Source organism: Homo sapiens, chromosome 1, assembly GCF_000001405.40.
Source record: "Homo sapiens chromosome 1, GRCh38.p14 Primary Assembly".
NCBI classification, from domain to species: Eukaryota; Metazoa; Chordata; class Mammalia; order Primates; family Hominidae; genus Homo; species Homo sapiens.
The window spans coordinates 214,001,666-214,021,391 of NC_000001.11; the positions used below are offsets into that span (position 1 = coordinate 214,001,666).

The following is a 19,726-nucleotide window of genomic DNA, read 5'->3' on the forward strand; positions in this document are numbered from 1 at the left end:
CCAACCAGGAACCATAGATTAGAAATGAATTTCTGAAATTTGAAACCATCCACAGAAATTGATCTTATACATTTTTAGAAGTCTTGTGGAGGCTATAGTACTTATATTAGCTAGAGCAAAACATGTAGATTAAAGACTAAAAGACTTTGGGCTCCTACACTACCCCCCTCCCCTGAAAAAAATTATAAAGTAAGTAAATTAAAAAAAAAAAATCCCTACACTACACAGCCCTCCGATTATGGTGAACTTCCTAGTGGGAGTTACGACTTGCTCTATCACTGTCATTATGTGAGAGAGTTTAGATCTTTTCTCCCCATTTTAGTTTCTAGGGGGAAAACCTCTTAGAAACTTAGCAAATTAGGGAATAAGGCAGAACTAAAATTCTTTAGGTTTCAAATGTTTTGGAAAATGTAAGTAGTCTCAACCCATTTGCTGGGAACTGCAGCACGTACAATCTCTAGCTACAATCCAGAGTTTAGCTGGAAAAAAAGAATTTTCTTCCTCCGCTTTCACAGCTTATTATTCTCCCATTTGCCTTTTTGCTGCCTCCGCTGCTCCTCCCGTGGCTGCTGTTTAGGTAAGGTTATATTGTACTTGGTAAACAGACAACACTTAGGTTCTCAGGTTGTTTGAACACTGCTTTACGTTCAGCTGCAGTACCCTGCTTCTCTGATCTTTTATATTCCCGAGCAGATGTCTTTCATTAATTTATGGATTTATCATCTTTTCTTTTTTTTTTCTTTTTTCTTTTTTTTTTTTTTTTACACCTGGCAGCTGTCTCAAGTTTCAACAGTTATTGTCTATTTTGCATTACACATAGAATTGAATGTCATCTGTCTTCACAAAGCTATGGCTAAGAGAATTGAGGCACAGCCACATGAGCTGCTGGGACAGATCTTGTTTGCGTTCCATCCCCCCTCACCCCACTCCCCTTTACCTCCTTAATATTTATTTGTGCTCATTTTCTTTCCTGGCCTTGAATGGAGCTTAGCTCGTGTTCAGTACAGCTGTATGTTTACTGAATCTATTCCATCATGAGTCATTGTGCGTGTGTAAGTATCCTGGAAACAGCTAGTGCTTTCTTGGAAGAACAGTTGCTTTTCAGCACAAGCACTTAAAAGGGAAATTAACCAATTGGTCAGTTCAGATTTATTTTGAGGAGAAAAAAAGGATTATCTAACTGTTGCCTTTTAAATGTTTCATTAGTTATTTTTAATAGTTTATTAGAAACATATATTTTATGGGAATTTTATCTTAATTACACAATAAGCAAGAGATAAAGATTAATTCTGTGTTCCATTTCAACTGATCAGTTCCAAGTATTACCAACAGGAAACATTTTAAAGCAAAAATGAACTTGAGAAATCCAAATCAGAATAATTTTTTGTTAGATAAAAAGCCTCTAAATACTGATCAAAATAAAATGGATATTTTACTTTTTTTAGATAAAAAGAACAAAAACATCTTAGCATAAATTAGATGTATTAAAAGCTTCAGGAAGTTTTGGTAGCTCAGTGCCCATCTAAGAAACACAGAAAAACACTTTGTATTTTGTATGACACCAAATTTTAAAAGATTTGTGACTTCCAATTAAATGCATGACGTTGTCTTAATGTAGCCATCTGAAAGAAAAGATTAGAACCCAGATCTGAGAGTGTCTGTCAAAGTTTGGACTTGCCTAAAACTCTTATCACAAGGCAGTCGCAGACAGCTTGCAACTATTATTTCACTTATCCATTTGGACAGATGGTCCTGAAGTGTGCTGGGCTCCTTTAGTCTTCTGTATCAGTCTAATGGAGGTTACTGGAGGGCCTTTCAGCCCTCTCCTTGGCACAAGAAGTATGTCAGTCATAAATTATCGTCTTTGTAATCATTAAGGATCTCAAACAAAAACACAAGTTCAGTTAAGCTGCTTTGGCTTACAGATATAAAATCAAAATTTCTTTCTTTAGTGTTTATTTTCAGTTTAACAAAAAATAAAAAAATAAAAAACCTGCACTACTTAACTTTTCTATTTACAGACCAAGGTGATCTTTTTAAAATTGCATGGGATATTAAAGGGAATGTTAATTGAACAAATTCTCAGCAGAATATTTGGTTAAACACCCTGTTATAAGTAGTCAAGAGCTTATCCATATTAATTTGATTATGCTTCTCTAGTAACTTTCTGGTTTCCCTCCATTCTTAAGATTAGTCACGCTAGACTTGATGAAGGTCATTTGGAAAATTTTACCTTTCCTAAATATCTGTGTTTATTTGACATTTCTGCCTAAGGGGTGAAATTTTTGTTGGGTAGTTGTGTGAGTGTGTTTGTGTGTGTGTTTGCACACACAAGCACACTTTCTTTTCTTTTTTTTCTTATTTTTCTTAGACACTCTTCTAAAAGAAAATCCTTAGAGAAGCTTCTAGGAAGGGCCCTTAATTGACCTTGTGGGGGACCACATTGATTTTCTCCACGTGCATCTTCATTTCTGATAAATTATAAAGCCATTAATTTGCTGAGGAAATGGCAGGGCCAGGCTGCGGCACAGATGTGACCAGAGCCATCCCAGCTCTGAGTCTGCTGAGGAGTGCCAAGAATCTGGGGGAGAATCAGGAAGCCTGGATTGTTATGGTTAGCCTCACATTCTCTTGGGAACTGTTTTAGTTGCTGCTGTTTACAGATCTAAAAGGTAATGATGTTTCCAGATAAATAGGCCTTCTTATTTTGGGTAAGTGGCCATTTATTGATCTGCTAACCCACATGTATTGATTTGTTAGCCCCAACTACTGCGTCACTCTCAAAGGAGTTAACTATAAATCCAAGACAGGCAAATTGTATTTGGTTTTGGACCATTGCTTTCACAAAAGCAACAGCCCCCTCCCTGTCCTCTCCATGCCAAAACTACTCTTCCCAAGTTTTAGCTATTATTTAAAAGGAAAAACAATTAAAAGGATATAATAAGATAAAAAGCAAGTGAGTCAAGATGCTCCATTAGATTAACACTAAAAGGTAAAATGTGAAACTTGCATAGCAGTGTTCAAAATAATGCATTTTATATTTTCATGTACATTAGTAGAATAATTTGCTTTAAACTGCAGAGTGTGGAGAGAAGAACAAACAGAACTGTAATTGCAAGGAAGAAAAAAAAACCTCTTATGACAAGAGTTGTGTAGTACATGTTGGGTGCATTTGTCTCCTTAGCAACAAGTGAATGTATAGATAGCCTACCGACCTAAAGCAAGGAAAATATTTTGCCATCCTCACCCTAAAGTAGCCAAGATTCTGCAACTCAATTGTGCATCCTCACCATTGCATGTGGCAACCTCTGACAGGCGACGGTCACTGAGCAAATGGCAGCAAGTTAGCAATGGATGCCATAGCCAGTGTCATATACCTTCCAGCACTCCCACCGCAGCTTGATGGACCCCCAGACTCTATGGAGGTGGGGACTGGAGGGAGGGAGGTGGGAGTCCTTGTGCTTACAGAATTGCTTTTCCTTAACCAATTGCATCCTACATGCAGGAAGGATTGTCACCCAATCACTTGAAAAAAGCAAAGCTCATGTTTTTTTATACCCGTTATCCCAGCTCCAATATGCTGAAGACCTACTTCTCCGACGTAAAGGTAGGGACTTTTTTTATTCTTAATTTTTTCATTTTCTATGCATGTGGCAGTAATTTGAACTCCCGGAAGTTAATGGAGATGAATGTGGAATTGGTTTATTCCTACACCTGTGTTATAATTGATTTAATGCACTTGTCTTTTTGTCTAAAGGTGTGTTAAGCAAAGATGCCACTTGTGTATTAAGATTGGAAGACTGGTGTTAATAAGTTGCATGGGTTTCCAATGTAGTCTGAAAAACTTAGCCTCTGTCTTTATATGTTTGAGTAGCTTCTTTGAAGAAATTTCAGCTGGTAATGGATGGGTGTGCTTTAGAGAATGTTTTTTCCCTCCCCTCAGCAACAGTAAACTGTTTCTGTTTTTGTTTCTGTTGGTTTCCCCATATTTGTGCTTATGAAAGCAAACTCTAGCACCTCTTTTTCCCCCTGTCGAAAAGGAGCGTACATTGAAATTCTCTATGCAGTAGCTGCTTAAAAACAAAAGTGATGATTGTCTCTTATTTACAACTTAATTTGTTGTTGATGTAGAGTACACTGAGCATAAGGAGAATGAATAAAGTGACAGATTCAGGACACATTATTCAAATGAGGATATGAAAGCTGTCGGCCTACAGCTGCAGCCTCCCTCATTCTACAGAATATTGGGACCTCCTGGTTCTCTCTGTGTGTGTATGCGTGTGTGTGTGTGTGTGTGTATGTGTCTGTGTCTGTGTGTGGGTTTTAAGTAATTGTTTGCATCAACTTGATGTTGTGTTAATCATCTGTAACTTTTTAAAACATAGATTGGGTTTTGATGATGATAATGACACACATGGTATCATTATCCCAGGAACTTGATAAACACTACATTAGCTGAGATTAGTTTATTAGGGGTGGGTGTTTTTTCCCCACTCCTCCCCTGCCCACCCCCATATGTACAAGTTCTTCTTTCTGCCATGGAGAACTCACAAGCTGCCAAAACACACTCGCTCTTCCACTGCTCCCCGCACGCAGCTTGTTTTGTGCTTGATGCCCAAGTGGCTTCATTGGCCCCATTTTGCAGGCCAACTCATTTCAGTTTCCTTCACTGGTGTTTTATTTGGCCTTATAAGAAAAGTTCTGTTTTCCCTCCTGTTTGCTTTTGAATTGTGTATCAACTTCAGCCTTTTATCTTTCTCCTTCCCTGGCTGTGCTCCTTAAGTGGAAGGCTTGTTTTCTCCTTGTTCAGCACCAGCAAACTGGGCAAGATGGGGAGGCAGGGAAAGTCCATCACGTAAATGTCTGGATAAGACTAAGTGAGCACAAACAAGGCTGAGTGACACAGAGGCCAGGAAAAGGGTTTGGGCTTTGTAGAGGACAATCTAGAATACACAAATTGAAGGCAATTTGTCACCTGGTTGAGGACTGACCAGCTTCTAGAGTCTAGTAGAACCTGGTAAAGTTTGTCTTCCAGGGAATCCTCCCAACATTTTAGTTCTAGGAGGGGACATGGAGGACAGGGAGAAAAGGGTTATTGTGTGCACATATGTGTGTGTGTGTGTCTGTGTGTGCAGATGTCCATGTTACTCATTCCTTTTAGGGCAATGATCTTCAGTGTTGTGAAATAATAATGACAATAACTTATATTCTTTGCATAGCAATTTTCACCCAGAAGTAGGCCAAAGAGCTTTACCAACTGCACACATAGGTGTCACTCACCCACCACGGAAACACAGCCACCTGGAGGGTGGGAAACAGCAGCCATTCTGAGCCAACACTACCCAACAGTAGACGTCAATATTAGAAACAATCATTTTTTGTGAGAGTTCAAGCATGCGTGCATGTGTGTGGTGTGTGGTGGCAAGTGGGGAAGATTATTGATCTGTAGCTTTATAAATACCATGCAATACAAACCAACAAGAAACTGTTCCCATTCCTCTAGAATGCCCCTAGCAATTCAGCTTTGCAAATAACCACTGACTCTGTGTAGATAACAATGGAATACCTGGGTGAATATTTTATTTTCAAAAGCACTAATATTCAGATTGTTGATTCTATCCATACCTTACCCATACTGGAAGAGAAGGCTGTTAAAGTATATGTGAGTCTGGTTACTACCAATTATCCACTGTAATGGAGGGGAAACAGTAGAACATATCAGGCAAAGCAGAAAATCACTGAAGGTCACTTCTCTTTTATTTTTGGAAGGAATTATACATTTTTAACTTTCCTAATTATGTTTTTTCTTTGGTTAGTAATAAATGAATTTGTATTTCTTGAGCTTACACTGATGAGAGTAGAAAGCCATGCAAAGAAAGGGAAAGGTAGTCCAGGCAATGTGGTCCAGAGACTTTCCAGAAAACAATGGCAGAGCATTCTGGGATTTCTTCAATATTAAGGATAATCACAGATGTGAATATTGACAATGTATACACACACATATGTGCATGTGCATGGGTTCACAATACACATATACATATATACACATATCTATAGCTTGACATTGACATACAGATAGACAAGTGTGTCTATTTATTTGCAAGGCTGAAAGAAATAGATATTTCTTTATATATGAATATACAATCCAAACTTTTATTTTGGCCAGGATTCAAGAAATCACTAGAGAAATTGGGGAAGAGAACTTAGGGTCTTCTCAGAAATGAAACCTGCATCATTTATCTGGAACAAGATATATGCATGTATCTATGGACCATGTAATGCTTGTTATAATGACATGAGGCTCTACTTGGTCATGGCCACATTCATCTAGGAGAAAATTCCTAACTTTAGTAAAATGTACTCTTTCAAATAATAAAGTTATTTTATTCAATTTTTTTTTTTTGAGACGGAATTTCACTCTTGTCACCCAGGCTGGAGTGCAATGGTGCAATCTCAGCTCACTGCAACCTCCACCTCCTGGGTTCAAGAGATTCTCCTGCCTCAGCCTCCCAAGAAGCTGGGATTACAGGAATGTGCCACCACGCCTGGCTAATTTTTGTATTTTTTTTAGTAGAGACGGGGTTTCACCATGTTGGCGAAGCTTGTCTTGAACTCCTGACCTCAAATGATCTGCCTGCCTTGGCGTCCCAAAGTGCTGGGATTACAGGCATGAGCCACCGCGCTCAGCCCTCATATTTTATTTAGTGATCATAAGTTCATTTTGCAAGCAAAAACAAAAAACAAACAACAACAACAACAACAAAAAAAACCAGGAGAAAAAAATGTGAGCAGAAAATATCTTGTTTCCTGAATATGGTATAACGTAATGGTCCATCAAAGCCACACTTGGAGGATAGAGCTAGATGGGGTAAATCCTCTGACTTGCTCTAGAAGGTGAGTCATGCCAAAGTGGTGCCCACTCCTTTGTATTTCTCCTTAGGAATGGACACAGTGCTTAACTCTCCACAAATGACTTCCACCTGGGTAAGAGGTAAATGCTTTTCAATTACCTTGGAACGAAAGAGGTAGAGGGAAATCATACAATTCAGAGATGTTGGCATGGCGAGAGTTCTTCTTCTACAGGGGTGATGTATATGAAGGATGAAACCAGGGCCGACCTAGTTTAACTCCTAGAGCAAGAATCTAAACAAAGTTCTATGTTCTCACAGAGAGCCAACTTAATTCCCTCATAATGACATTTAGCCAAACAAAAAGCTCAGCTCATCGGGGCTACAAATCCTTTGAGAAGGACAAGTGGACAAATGTGAGAGAGCTGCCAGGGATCGATGGGCCGCACCAGCTCCCTGTTCACTACTGGGTGCTGATTTTAATGTACAAACTAATAACTCTTAGACCACTAAGTACAGCAGATTCAGTGTCATTTTAGCTTTGAAGAACAGACGCTCACAGCTTTTCAAGCCGGCAGTGTTAAATGATGTATCTCATTCCCTCCACCCCTTGAGTCAACTGCTGCCTAGCCAGATTAAGGTGTCAGATTGATTTGTTTTATACATCTTTTGACCATGCTCATTGAATATTTAGGAAGTTTCTTCAGCCCATATTGAGGCTGAGATGTCCCGTGGGAAGCATTAATCAAAGTCACAGAGACTCGTACACTGTGGAAACACAGCCTCTTTATTGTAGCGATTAGTTTTTGCAGTAACACATTAACACACTACAGAGCTTTCCTTTATAGAACAATTGATCCTTTTCTTGTAAGCCACTACAGAATGAGGGAAATTAACTCTTTAAAGTTTAATACTTTTTCTCCCCCAGTGTGAATATCTAGAAAAGCGGGGGCTTGCTTTTGCTTTTAGCCGGCGACTAAAACTGAACAAATTTTAGTTCACTTCTCCTGGAGGGAAACCCTGTTCCTTAGGCTGTTGGGCTGGTCATTTCGCTTGCCTCATGTTTGGGGAGTCTGTTGTTTTTGTCCATTCTTTCTCTCTGGTATTTCCATTCTCCAACAATAAGCTTTAAATCTCCCTTTATGTCCCATTCGTAAATAATGGCAAGTGCACTTACTTTTTTGTCCTCCCCATTAGGTCATTCGTGACCATTCTAGAAAAAAAATACCCTTCTATTTTTTTCCTCTACAGTACTCTTGTCCATATGAGACAATGTCTTGTAACAATGCAGAAGCCTAATCTCCATGTCAAAGCAATTTTCATTCCCCAGTGCACAGCCTGCTATCATTTTGTAATGTTTTGTTTCTTATTCTAAAAGAATTAAAAAGGAACAGTAAGCCGTCACGGGGGCCTGTAGTCCTTATCTCAGTGTCTGGAAATTTGGACAGTGTATTTTACTGCTGAGATAAAATGGAAAGAACTCCAAGTTCAGCAAATCGTAATGGGTTTAAGTTCTATTGAAATCGGCAACCAGAAGATCAGATAATGGGGGTCCTTCAGTTGTCTTTTTAATCGGGTTCCCCGCGAGGCTGAATAGAGACAGAGCAGACACACAGAGTGAAAATATAATTCTTGGATAGGTTAAGTACATGTTTGAACTCTTGCAAGCAGAAGCGATTTGCTGATGACTTAATCATTTTCTGGTCAATTATCTGTAAGGGCCCTTGCAACTCCATGGCAATTATGATGCAAGTTGGCCTTTTGGGAGAAACACCAGTCTCTCTGCTTCTGTTTCCTTGTGACTTCCATTCTCTGCCATAAATTTTCATTCATTTATTATCTTTGCTAGTATAGAAACAACTTTCTGTGTAGTAATTAGAGCCCCAATACACACTTTAGCTGTCATCTTGTTGGAGTCTGGATGTTCTCATGGCCTGTGTTTGATAAGTGCTCTTTGTTGATTTTTGATGAATGTACATCTTTTTCTGGGGGCCCAGGGAAGGGGATGCCTGTGATGACAAAAGGCAGGGGGTTGTCTGTCAGCCCGCCTGATATAGAGCTATGGATTTATTGGTTTTGACTTGGCAAGTTGAGACTCATCTGTCCTTTACGTGAGCAGAGGACTGTCAATAAGGATGGTATCATTTGCAGTGCATCCAGAAAGACATCTTCATTTCAAAGGTCATCAGGAAACCTTGGTAAACAAAGTTTTAAGGCCTAACCATGTTATAGTAACTTGGCATTTAAAAAAATGTAATAAAGCTCCTGTCTATGCCATCTGTGTACTGTGTCCTAACCATGCCTCCCAAATGGCAGAGATACCAAGGGAGGGGGACATGGGTCTTATCCAATGCTGGCTTCAGGAAGCAGGTGAACAGGCACCAGGAGCTGACCAGACCTCACCAGACATGAATGCCGTGGGCAAACATTAAGTGGAATCACAGTTGGATGGACATGGGAATCACTCATTGCCAAAAAAATAAGCAAATGCCAACTCCTCCCATTTTGTGGGAAGGCCATTTGTCTGCATTGAAGGGGGCTGTAATGCGGTGATACAAATCCTCACTTAAAAAAAAAAAGTATATCAAACTAGTGGTAGAGTCATGTGGCACATCACCTCTGGTACATGGGAGTAACAACACTTCCAGGATTCTATGGCTTCAATGAATGTCCATAAGAAGTATATAAATGCAAGTTGTTCTACTGAAAGATGAAGAACAATGGTTAAAAATAAAGATGTTCGGCTTAAGGAAAGTCTGATTTAGAATGTGACTTTTCCACTTGAAAGGTAGAGGGTTGTGATATGATTTCCATTACTGACAGGTTTTTATAATTTCTTGTAAGTATATTCTTCCTCTTGCCTCTCTTGCCACCATTTTGGTGGAGTTAAATACGTATCTTTCCAAGTAAAGAAGGGACGGGAACATTAAAAATGCTTCAGACACTTAAAAAAATAAATGAAGAAAATGGCAATGTTCTTATCCTTTTCAACATTTAAATTTAACAGTTCAACAGATGCATTACCTCTCAGCTCATCAAGTGGTTTAGCAATTTCCGTGAGTTTTACTACATTCAGATGGAGAAGTACGCACGTCAAGCCATCAACGATGGGGTCACCAGTACTGAAGAGCTGTCTATAACCAGAGACTGTGAGCTGTACAGGGCTCTGAACATGCACTACAATAAAGCAAATGACTTTGAGGTAGGAACTAATCTTTATTTTTTGGTCATCTCCCTTTTCCTTTTTTAAAAAATTTATTTTCTTTAGAAATGTACCCAAATCTGTTTTTGTGTTGGTTTCGCATACAAGCATCCCCCAATAGAGTAACAGGTAGAGCTGTGATGAGGAGCTTCCATAGTCCCCATTGGAATCATGAGGCTCTGACCCACTGCCATTTTTTCCCCATTCCCTGGCTTTTCAGCTTGTGTGGAAGACTCATTTGGCCACAGAAAAGGGAACTGTAGAATCCAAAGAAAAATGGCAGCAAGCAGCAAAGACAGAGTGATTCATTTTCCAAGGAAGAGGTCCCTACTCCAATAGACCTTTTTCATATTTAGGTTCTGAGAGGTCAATGAGCTGATACATGCTATGTGCAATGGTAGCTACCAATGTTATTTTCTTAAAAAGTCTAGAAACGTTGATGGGGGAGTGATCATGGTTTCTGACTTTGACATTTAGTCCCTTTGTGGAGGAAATGGTATGATAATTTACTAAGTACATAGCATAAGAGATCCATTGACATCTTTTTTTGGGATTTTGTTTCTGTTTTTGTTCTTTTTGGAGGAGAGACTCGTGTGTTTTGCCTAAGTGTACCTTCACAAGCATGCTGCTCTTTGTACAAACACTCTCATACACACTTATATATATCTGTGACGTGTATATTCTAGATCCACACAAAGCAGCATAGAGAATTCCCAGAAAGCAATATCCATGCAACAATGAAAGATGTGTGGCTATGAGTAAGGCATTTCTTTATGGGCTAATGTGGTGCCTCAGCAAACAGTTTTCATCACAACGTGATGACTCTCTGTGAGACAACACTAGCAAATCTCCCAGTACTCACAAAGGCATTTTGCTGAGCCCTGCTGGCTGAGGCAACAGTAGTTGGAGGTGGGAACATGGCAAGAATTCTGCAGGCTGAACTCCCTGATGATGAGATCAGACAGGCTGTGGCTTGACAAAGTTGGTCCATTTCTTGTATTATCTTGGCTAGATGCTGTGCCATCTTGAGGGTAGGAATTTTTTCTCCAACGTCTGTGTGCACTTGGACCTTATGTTAATATTCTTGCTTTCTTCTTGTAGATAGGTATCCAGGAATACCCAGGAAGTTCCAAATTTCAAAGGAAAGAGGACACCTTGGCCTCGCTCTGTCAATTAAGGGGTCTGACCCCTAGTACTCTTCCTGCTTGCCCCCCTCCTTTTTTTCGGCTCTTGTCCCTACAGTTCTTGGCAATGCAGACCAGTTATAGTGGCTTATAAAGAATTGAATATGGAAGCTCAGCAATGGGGAAGTCATAGTTTTTCTTTGAAAGTTTGAGTAGTTATAGTGTAAGCTACCTATTTGTCTTTGCTCTCTAAGACTAATATATTTTTTGCCAAATGTGTGATAAATGAAGTTTGGGTGGTGTGTGTGTGTGTGTGTGTGTGTGTGTGTTTGCTAAATACATTAAAAGTGAGAATTCTTCGTGTACTGCTCCACTATTTTAAAATCTGTTTTTAAAGTCTCAGTTGTAATAGAGCACTGGCTCACTATAATGACAGAGCACTAGCAGGCTTCTTCTAAAGCTGAAGAATATGATTATGGCTAACCATTTTAAAGAAATCTCATTAAGAGCATCTTTTCTCCCCTGCCTTTCTGCTAAGCCTGTTGCCCTAAACCTTAAGCTAAGAGACTTCTGTGTGCTAGTGAATTATTTACATTACATGATGACATAAGTATCTGTTTGGCAGCATACATCAAGCTTCATGAAAGAATTGCCCAAGATTCATGAGATGACTTCTGCATTTTTGCTATATAAAATACCCAAGAGGACAAGTCCTTAAAGTGCGCACGAGGGTTTTCGGGTTGCTTAAACCTTACCTGGTTGGAATTTAATCCGCTACCCACAGGCCAGGGGCCAAAATGACACAAACAGGGGATGGCTGGCATCAGGAGGTACCCGACAAGCTGCTCCATTTAGCATCATCTAAATCCTCTTTAATATGATTAACATCTAATATTTCTCTCTTTGTGAATCATATCCACTTCCAGCCAGGCCACCTCTCCTTTATCTGCAGTGTCTATTTTAAGACTGCTTCACTGCAAGGAGTATGGGGCCCGGGCAGGAATTTTGTCACTTCTCATGTGACTTCGGACAGTTATTGGACTATTCTGGATCTGATTCCTCCTTCAGTGAAAAGAAGGGAAGAAAGCAGGACCATGCAGTGTGTCCTGCCCCCTCTACTCACACACTTACACATCCATATGCACACACGCGTACCGACCACCACACATAATCCTAATATCACGAAATCGTTTTTCTTTTAGCCTCTCGGTCTGGCTCATTTACTGACAAAAGTTTCAGATAAGGTGAGCCCTTCTTTTCCGTGCCTTTGTGCATGGAGGTCACTGCTTAAGTGAGATGCTTAAAAAGCCACCGTTCTTATCGTGGTAGCTTTGCTAGTGTGGGCCGTGGCTGAGAGCCAAAAGTAGATCCGGCACCTTCAGCTGAATACCTCCACTGATACTGTGTGCACGGCTTTACTTTTGTATTTAAGTTTCTCCTCTTAAGGTCAAGTAAAATGAACCTATAGTTTAAGTATTAGCAAGTGAAGAGGATGGCAAAATGGAGAACTGTGCTACAAACAGAGCTAAACCATGGTAGAGGGACTTTGAAGCTACGTCTACACGGTGCCCCAAGATCCAGTCGATTCCAAGGAATCGTGTCACCCAGCTTAGTAGGAGCTGGTCAAACAATAAAATGTCTTATTGATTGTATTCCCAGACTTCTCAATCAATTGTTGGGAACAATAATAAAATAGCTAACATTTATTGACTGTTTACTAATGACCTAGGCACTCTTCTAAGTGTTTTACCAAAATAGGGCTTATTTAATGTGGGTAATAATAATGACAGTGATACCAATATAATAACAAGAAAAACTTCAGTTTGCCCAAAGCTTTACTATTCTTCAAGTTATTCTAACTGGGCAGAGGCAGATCGAGCCAGGGAGAGAGAAGGAGGTTTGACGTCTCTTCACTACTACTTTATTCCTTCTTTCTCTCCTCTACCCCTTGTCTTCTCTCAGCCTTCTACTCCCATCTCTGCCTCTGTCAGAAGCTTGCTAGTGGCACCTTTGTCACTGCTTAGCACCACCTCCGTCCAGCCCCTGCTGCTGATGGCTCTCAAGGCTGGAGAGGCTGCTGACCCCTGGCCTACAGGAAAATAAAGCAGATGGGGAAAGTTTATCAGCAGCGAAGAGGGAGTGGCTTGCCTGCTCTCCTCTCCTAGACCCTGCATTTCCTGGCCTTTATGAGTACAGGACCTTCTAAGTGGCAGTAGAGCTTGTTCTGCCTTTTGTATCAGTTTACACAATTGCCAGAATTCTTGGCACGGTGTGCAGACTTAGGGTGGTGAGCGTTTGAGAAGACCCAAGGGATGTGGAAGAAGACACCCAAGGGGAAAAATACGAAATACACTTTTAGTTTGTGCTAAAGGGCAGAAGCTTGGCCATATCACACCGGGTGGGGTGTCTTGCTTCTGTGCGTGAGTGTGTGAGGCACGCAGGAGAGGGGTGTGTAATTATGTGCTGTATCCTTCATTTCTGCTCCTCACATTTAATGAGATTGGCAACAATAAATTTGTCTTTCCAGGTGTGATGGTATATATTTCTATGCTTCATTCTCACTTCACTTTGAAGGGCTTCCAAAAAAAATTTTATGGGCAGAAAGAGCAAGTTTGGGATTCCTTCCCAGTTTTTAAATCATACTGATACTTGTGACTTTAGGGGCGTATGAGTTGGATTTTATCGCTTTTGTTGTTTTCCTCACAACTGTGGCAGGAAAAGAAGATGACGATCTCTGTCAGTTTCTGAGGCTGGTTTACCTGTTTTGCAAAGAGCTCCACCGAGACAACTAACTTGTGTAACTCACAAAGGTTAATTGCACAACGTAAGGAGCCAAAAGACATAGCAGCTATATGTGCAGCTGCGAAAGGCAGAATCATCCAAAGGTTGGAGGGTTTGTTACCGCCTGAGTGTAGGTTGAGAAAAGAATGTGCCAGATTCCTTCATCCAGTCACATTGAGCTCTCTTTCTCATTCCAGGGTACCGGGAGGTAGTGTTTCCCACGCCATGGTAAGCCACACATCCCTCCTGGGCCCCTCAGTGGCTAGTCATTCACCTGTAGGCAGGGTCTAAGTTTCCAGTAAGAATGACAGATCTCCCCTATCCTCGCTAAAGGCCCAGGTTTGGGGATGGAAGGCTTCAAAATAAATTGAATAGGGAACTTGATTCACTCATTAGTGGCCTTATGAATGCCATTTTCTAAGGTACTAATACCTCACTGGGCAGATGCTCCATCTTAGAGACTGTGGGTTTGACATTTTTCTGGGTGACACATGACAGGGAAGAAGGGTACTTCCGCACACCTTTGAATGTGTTTTCTTACTTTCCTCTTGGAAATAGAAAATAAAAAACAACACCCCACCCCACCCCCAACACACACACACACTAATACATACACACTTGCTGAATATGTTCTCTACCCCATACCTACCCTTTTCTTAACCTACTCCCACTTTCAATAGAACCCACATTTCAGAAGATTTAATATATTTGGAAGACTTTTATTCGCATTGTCATCTCTTTAAAGAAAAATGAGGACAGGTGGATTTAGGAAGCGCTTCCCTCTGCTCCAAATAGATCCTTAAATATGAGTGATCGTTTAGAAAACTGGCACATGAGTGAGAGCCTTTCACTGCTGTTGCAGTCTTTTGGCCTCAAAGCTGCTGAGCCGTTTAAATAATCGCATAACACACTCTTGGTGGGTGGCGAGGAGGAAAAGAAACCCTTACCATTTCTTCCCTTGCCAGTCCCACCGTTGACAAGCCAAATTGATCTTTTAAGAGATCAAATGAATGTTCTCTAAATATATGTACACACATGGCTGCCTGGAAACGTATTCCTTCCACAGAATGATTGCCTGAAATTTGAAGGAGAGCGCAGTAAAGACACCAGGTTGGAAGTGGGGTTGAAGGGCTAGGGGGTGGAGTGGAGGTAGAATTCTATGCGTGCATGAGGCTTCACTTTTGTACACTGTCCTTTTGGGATTCAAGGTGTTCATCAGTATAATGAAGCGGGCCCATTGATTTATCATCTATTTGGTAATGTCATTGCATTTTTAGCTCCCTGTGTCTTTTTTGTCATTGGGTTACATTCAAGCACAGTAAGATCAACTTTAAAACCTCCTTACTCAACAGCTTTATTAGTTATAGCATTCCATGACCTTTCTCAACATTCTTAAAGAAAAAGATACAGTGTAATGTCGCTTTACTTTGCTTATTGTCCTTTGTTGGGGTGAACAAAGCATTTTCTACAGTGGCTATATCACATAATTATACAGCTTTCAATAGCAGTGTCTTGGCACATATCAAAGTTCAGAGGAGCCTTTAGAAAAAAAAAAAGATGTTTTGTGGCAGCCTAGGGAGGGTCTCATCTTTCCTTCAGAAAATAGTTCAAGGCTCTTCTGTCAAGCTTCCCTACTTAGAGCTTTTTCTCCTCCTGCTTCATAAAGTTTAAAGGGGATTCAGTGGAGTTCTATGATCTATTTCCTTTGAAAGATTGTTCCTCGGCACAGAGAGGCCCTTTGACTTCAAGAGTTCACAGATTCATGTCTTTAGGTATCATATGTCTGACCTTATCAGTTACTCCATTTAATGTAGGAGAAAAAGTCTCAACTCTTTGTGTTTGTCTGTTTTGCCTCTGTGAAATGATTTGGTGAAAAGACCATCCTTTTTAACACACCACTGAGAGGCCGTTTCTGACTGTAACCTACCCTGTGGCTTTTCTCTCTTTAAAAAAAAAAAAAATCGTCCTTGTGTTTTGTGTATGGATGAGTTCACAGTGAGAATAGAATTATACAAGGGCAGGCGCACACACAAAAAAATCTTTGCTTTCCTCCCTCACCTCCCGCACCCCCCCACAAATGATCTATTGGCTCTCTCGGCGGCTGTACCCCAACAGGCGAAGCCATTTAGCAAACACAGAGGTAGCGGCTGTGGTGCTGGGACAGTGGTGGGTTTTCCCTTGCTTCGACCTACCCCTAAGGCCTTCATAATTAATTGTCCTTCAGCGATGAGGAAAGTTCAGAAACAGTGTGTGGAGTGATGCCTATTGTCTGATATTCAGTTCTCCTTGCCTTGGTTCTTTTTCTTCATCCCACAAAGGGTTATCAATGGGAGAAAGAGAGCAAGTTCTCTTCTGAGAGCTGCTGGTGGTGGCTGTAGCTTTCAGTGGGATGTTATCATTGTGTTCAGCCCATCCTGGATTAAATGTCTGAAGAAGTTCTAACAACCTTTTGAAAGACAGCCTGTTTATTTCGCCTAGATGAAACAAATTCATTTAGCAAACCAAAGCTTGTTCGAAGTTGGCCACCCCTTTTCACATGGCAGATAACATTATAGATCAAATTTCTTCATTTTTCCCCCCGCAGGATGTTATTTAACTTGAACTGTTTGGTTCTTTGTCAGTCACAGGGCAGAAATTTTAATGACTATTCACTCACTGCTCTTAAATACATCAATATTAATTTACAATAATACAGTTTTTGCTAACATCCTTTTTGATGAAGCGTAGACGTTTAATACTTGAAAGCAGATAATTAGTTTAAAAATATTGTTTCTCCTTCAATGACTGCCTTCAGCCAATCTTCAATTCTATCTTGTAAGATGATGTGAAACAAACGCATTTTGTCTTCCTGCACCCCCCAATTTTTGGCTGAGATACAAAATAAAGATGCAGTGTGGAGAGAGCTATTTGAGAAGGGTAGGAAAAAGAGAACCGTCTATTAATGATCATTATACTACTGTTCCTGTTAAATAGGGTGAAGCCAAGAAAAACAAATATAATCGTTCTTCCGAGGAGAGCAGTTGAACTAGTAAATCACAGAGGTTTAAAATAACTACATTGTAGTGTTCATGACAACTTCAAGGCTGAAGGGAACCATATTTAAAGGCAATCTCTGTGTCTCTTATAGCAGTTTCTTTTGGAGGAAGAGACCGACAGGATGGCCAGAATCAATTCTGCCCCCTTTGCTCTTTGAAAACAATTTCACAACAGACCTTTTGGTATTTAAAGAGAACCTGTATATGGAAGTTGACACAACTAATATAGTCATACCAAAAAGGGGGTCATAAAAAATTAAAGTTCTTCTTATGAATCTTTCATGAGAAGCAATGAAAAGGGACACTAGTGTAGCCAAGTTCTTTGTGCTACAAGCTCTTCTTCCGGGCTCTGAGCTATTGTTCTTTCAGCTCCTCAAACAGACTTTCACTTTCAAACTGACAAAAGTCACTTAAAAGCCAGACAGCTGTACTAACACACCCACCTTACTGAGCAAGAGCCACTGGCAGGTGACAAGGCCTGCTGAGAGACCTTGTTGAAAATGAGCAGGGGTGACTTTCTCGTGCCTTAACGTTGCTTTTGCACTCACTTTGAGATGGCCCATTGACTGCTCTTTTTGCCCCCCCACCCCAAAACAGGCTCCCCAAAATATGTTGTGCATTTTCTTTGCAGTGTGCAACATTGACATCCGTGATCATATTTCTGCCTTACACCTGTGTGGCTAGGCACGGGTTCTGGGAAATTTGTGCCCTTCTAGCAGAAGACAGGGAGTTTGACTCACAAAACTCCTGCTGCCTCTTTTCCTTTTGCCCCTCCATTCAGTTCAAATCTCACTTAAGGTTTTCAGATTTCTGTTGCCTCACTAGGGTTGGATAGAAAACACCCACCAAAGATGGGTGCAAACCTCACCTTCGGATTTAAGATCTAGGCAGAGATCGTTAGGTGGGTAGTCCTGCCTGCATCCCGACCCTCAGGGCAGCAGCCGTCGTGGGCCATGGGAGGCCTCCCTGTGTGCGCATTACAGGCCTCCCCTCCCCTGTCACCTTGTGTACAGTCTGGTCTGTGACACTGATGGTGATTATGTCATTATTTTGCTCTGGGGGCCCTGGCACATCTGCAGAGCCCAAGCACATCTTCTTTGTTGCGTTGGCAAATGTCCCACGCCGCAAATGCTTCATTAGCCCTGCTGCCGGCCTCCTTGCCAGACGCCTGTGCCCAAATCCCGGCTTCTTTTTGCTCCGTTCTTTTGTGTAGCTGATGATCATGTATTCATCTTCCTGGTTCTTCCCCATTTTCCTCGACTTCTGAACTCCAGATGTCCCAGTTTTCTTGCCCAAATCACTCCGAAGTCTACAATGCGAAATGAAGTGACTCTTTACCCTTGAATCCTTCCCCACTCCTGACCACCTTTCCTACTTTTTTTCCCCCAAATGAATAGTGACTTTGAATAGCTCGCCACCATGAAGACTAACGTTTTCAAACTTGCAATCTGAAAAGACACCAAGTGATTGCTTCCAGTTTATGATGAGAGACAGGGTTAGAATGAGTTTGGCATTATTAGATATTGCTTATTATCTGTGTGCCTTCCTCCTCCGTCCCCACTCTGCCCCCCTCACTATTTCCTTGGATCCTTTATTTGCACCTGTGCATTGCCACATTTTACCAATTTTCTGAAAGCACTTTGAAATGTGAGTACAGAAAATACTCTTCATGCCTCGCTGTGCACGTTACAGTCTTCTGAAGGTTCCTTTCTCTAAGTGAATCTTCATCTCCACTCTACCCTCTCCCAAAACCACTGCCCCCTCCTTCTGCCCCAGCCCTCAACAATGACCTACTATTAGATACTTACAGTGATTAACACTTGGCTGTTTTGGAAACAGCTAAAACATTTCTCTCTCTAAAGTTTTATTCTATATATCTAACAGAGCCACAGCTTTTGTGAAGGTGTACTGGTTTCTACATTAGCTGCAGTAAATTTTAGAGCTTAATATCTTGGGCTGTGATGGATACTACATAATTGGTATGTTTAATTTTCCCTTAAATTTGAATTAATTGATCTGTGTTAGCATATTATGAGCAGCTTTTCCAATAGAGTTTAACTAGTTTTTAAATTCTCTAACTACTGCAACATAAAATGATTTAAATGTCTCCATCTTTGAGCAAACCATAAGATTTTAGTTTTCAGGTGTAGTTAAAGGAGTTAAGTGTATATTTTATGGAAATCATGGTTAGATCACTGCCATGAATTGTAATTTGAAATTCAAGACAAAGACTCTGTTAAGGGTTAAAGAAAACTTCCTCAGAGGAATGAGTTGCCACATTGTACCGGGTTGCTGAGATTTTCAAATACCTATCAAAGAGGGGCACAAGAATATGCATGTTGCAAATATTAGGACCAATGTAGCCAACAAGGTGAGAAGAGAGGTGGTCAGATCAGGCGGGTGGGCTCCCCAACCCATTGTCAGCCCTGTGCAGGGAGCATATTGGGAGAGGCTGGTACCTGTCATTGAATCATTTTTCAAAAGGCTCGAGATATATCCAAAATATTCCTAACCTCCCAGTTGCCCACCATTATGGTTTTATCACCCATGAGTTTTACTTAAACCTTTTTTAAACTTAATCTCATTGTCAGAATATACCACTCCTTAAGATAATAATTCTCTAAGTGTATTACCTGCTGGGAAAATACTATCTTCTTTTTACGGCTCTAAACGTGATTCCCCTAGAACTCCACAGGGATAGCCCTTGTTATAATATCCTGGGATTGTGAAGAGGGT

General features: G+C 40.7%; 1 protein-coding gene across 14 annotated transcripts in view, besides 1 other annotated feature; it reads left to right on the forward strand.

The window, feature by feature from the left end:
- Window positions 1-19,726, forward strand: part of PROX1 (prospero homeobox 1) — a 58,360-nt gene that overhangs the window by 18,515 nt on the left and 20,119 nt on the right. For all 14 annotated transcript variants that reach the window (XM_011509773.3, XM_047425575.1, NM_001270616.2 and 11 more), the window contains 2 exons: window positions 3,500-3,607; window positions 9,856-10,050. In XM_011509773.3, the coding sequence (XP_011508075.1) occupies window positions 3,500-3,607; window positions 9,856-10,050 (303 nt within the window). The remainder of the gene's footprint in view (window positions 1-3,499; window positions 3,608-9,855; window positions 10,051-19,726) is intronic.
- Window positions 841-1,135: an enhancer, noted in NCBI's record as "tiled region #2293; K562 Activating non-DNase unmatched - State 7:EnhWF". NCBI's record gives its function as "activates a minimal TATA promoter and a strong SV40 promoter by Sharpr-MPRA in K562 cells {active_cell/tissue: K562}" and the evidence as "EXISTENCE:reporter gene assay evidence [ECO:0000049][PMID:27701403]".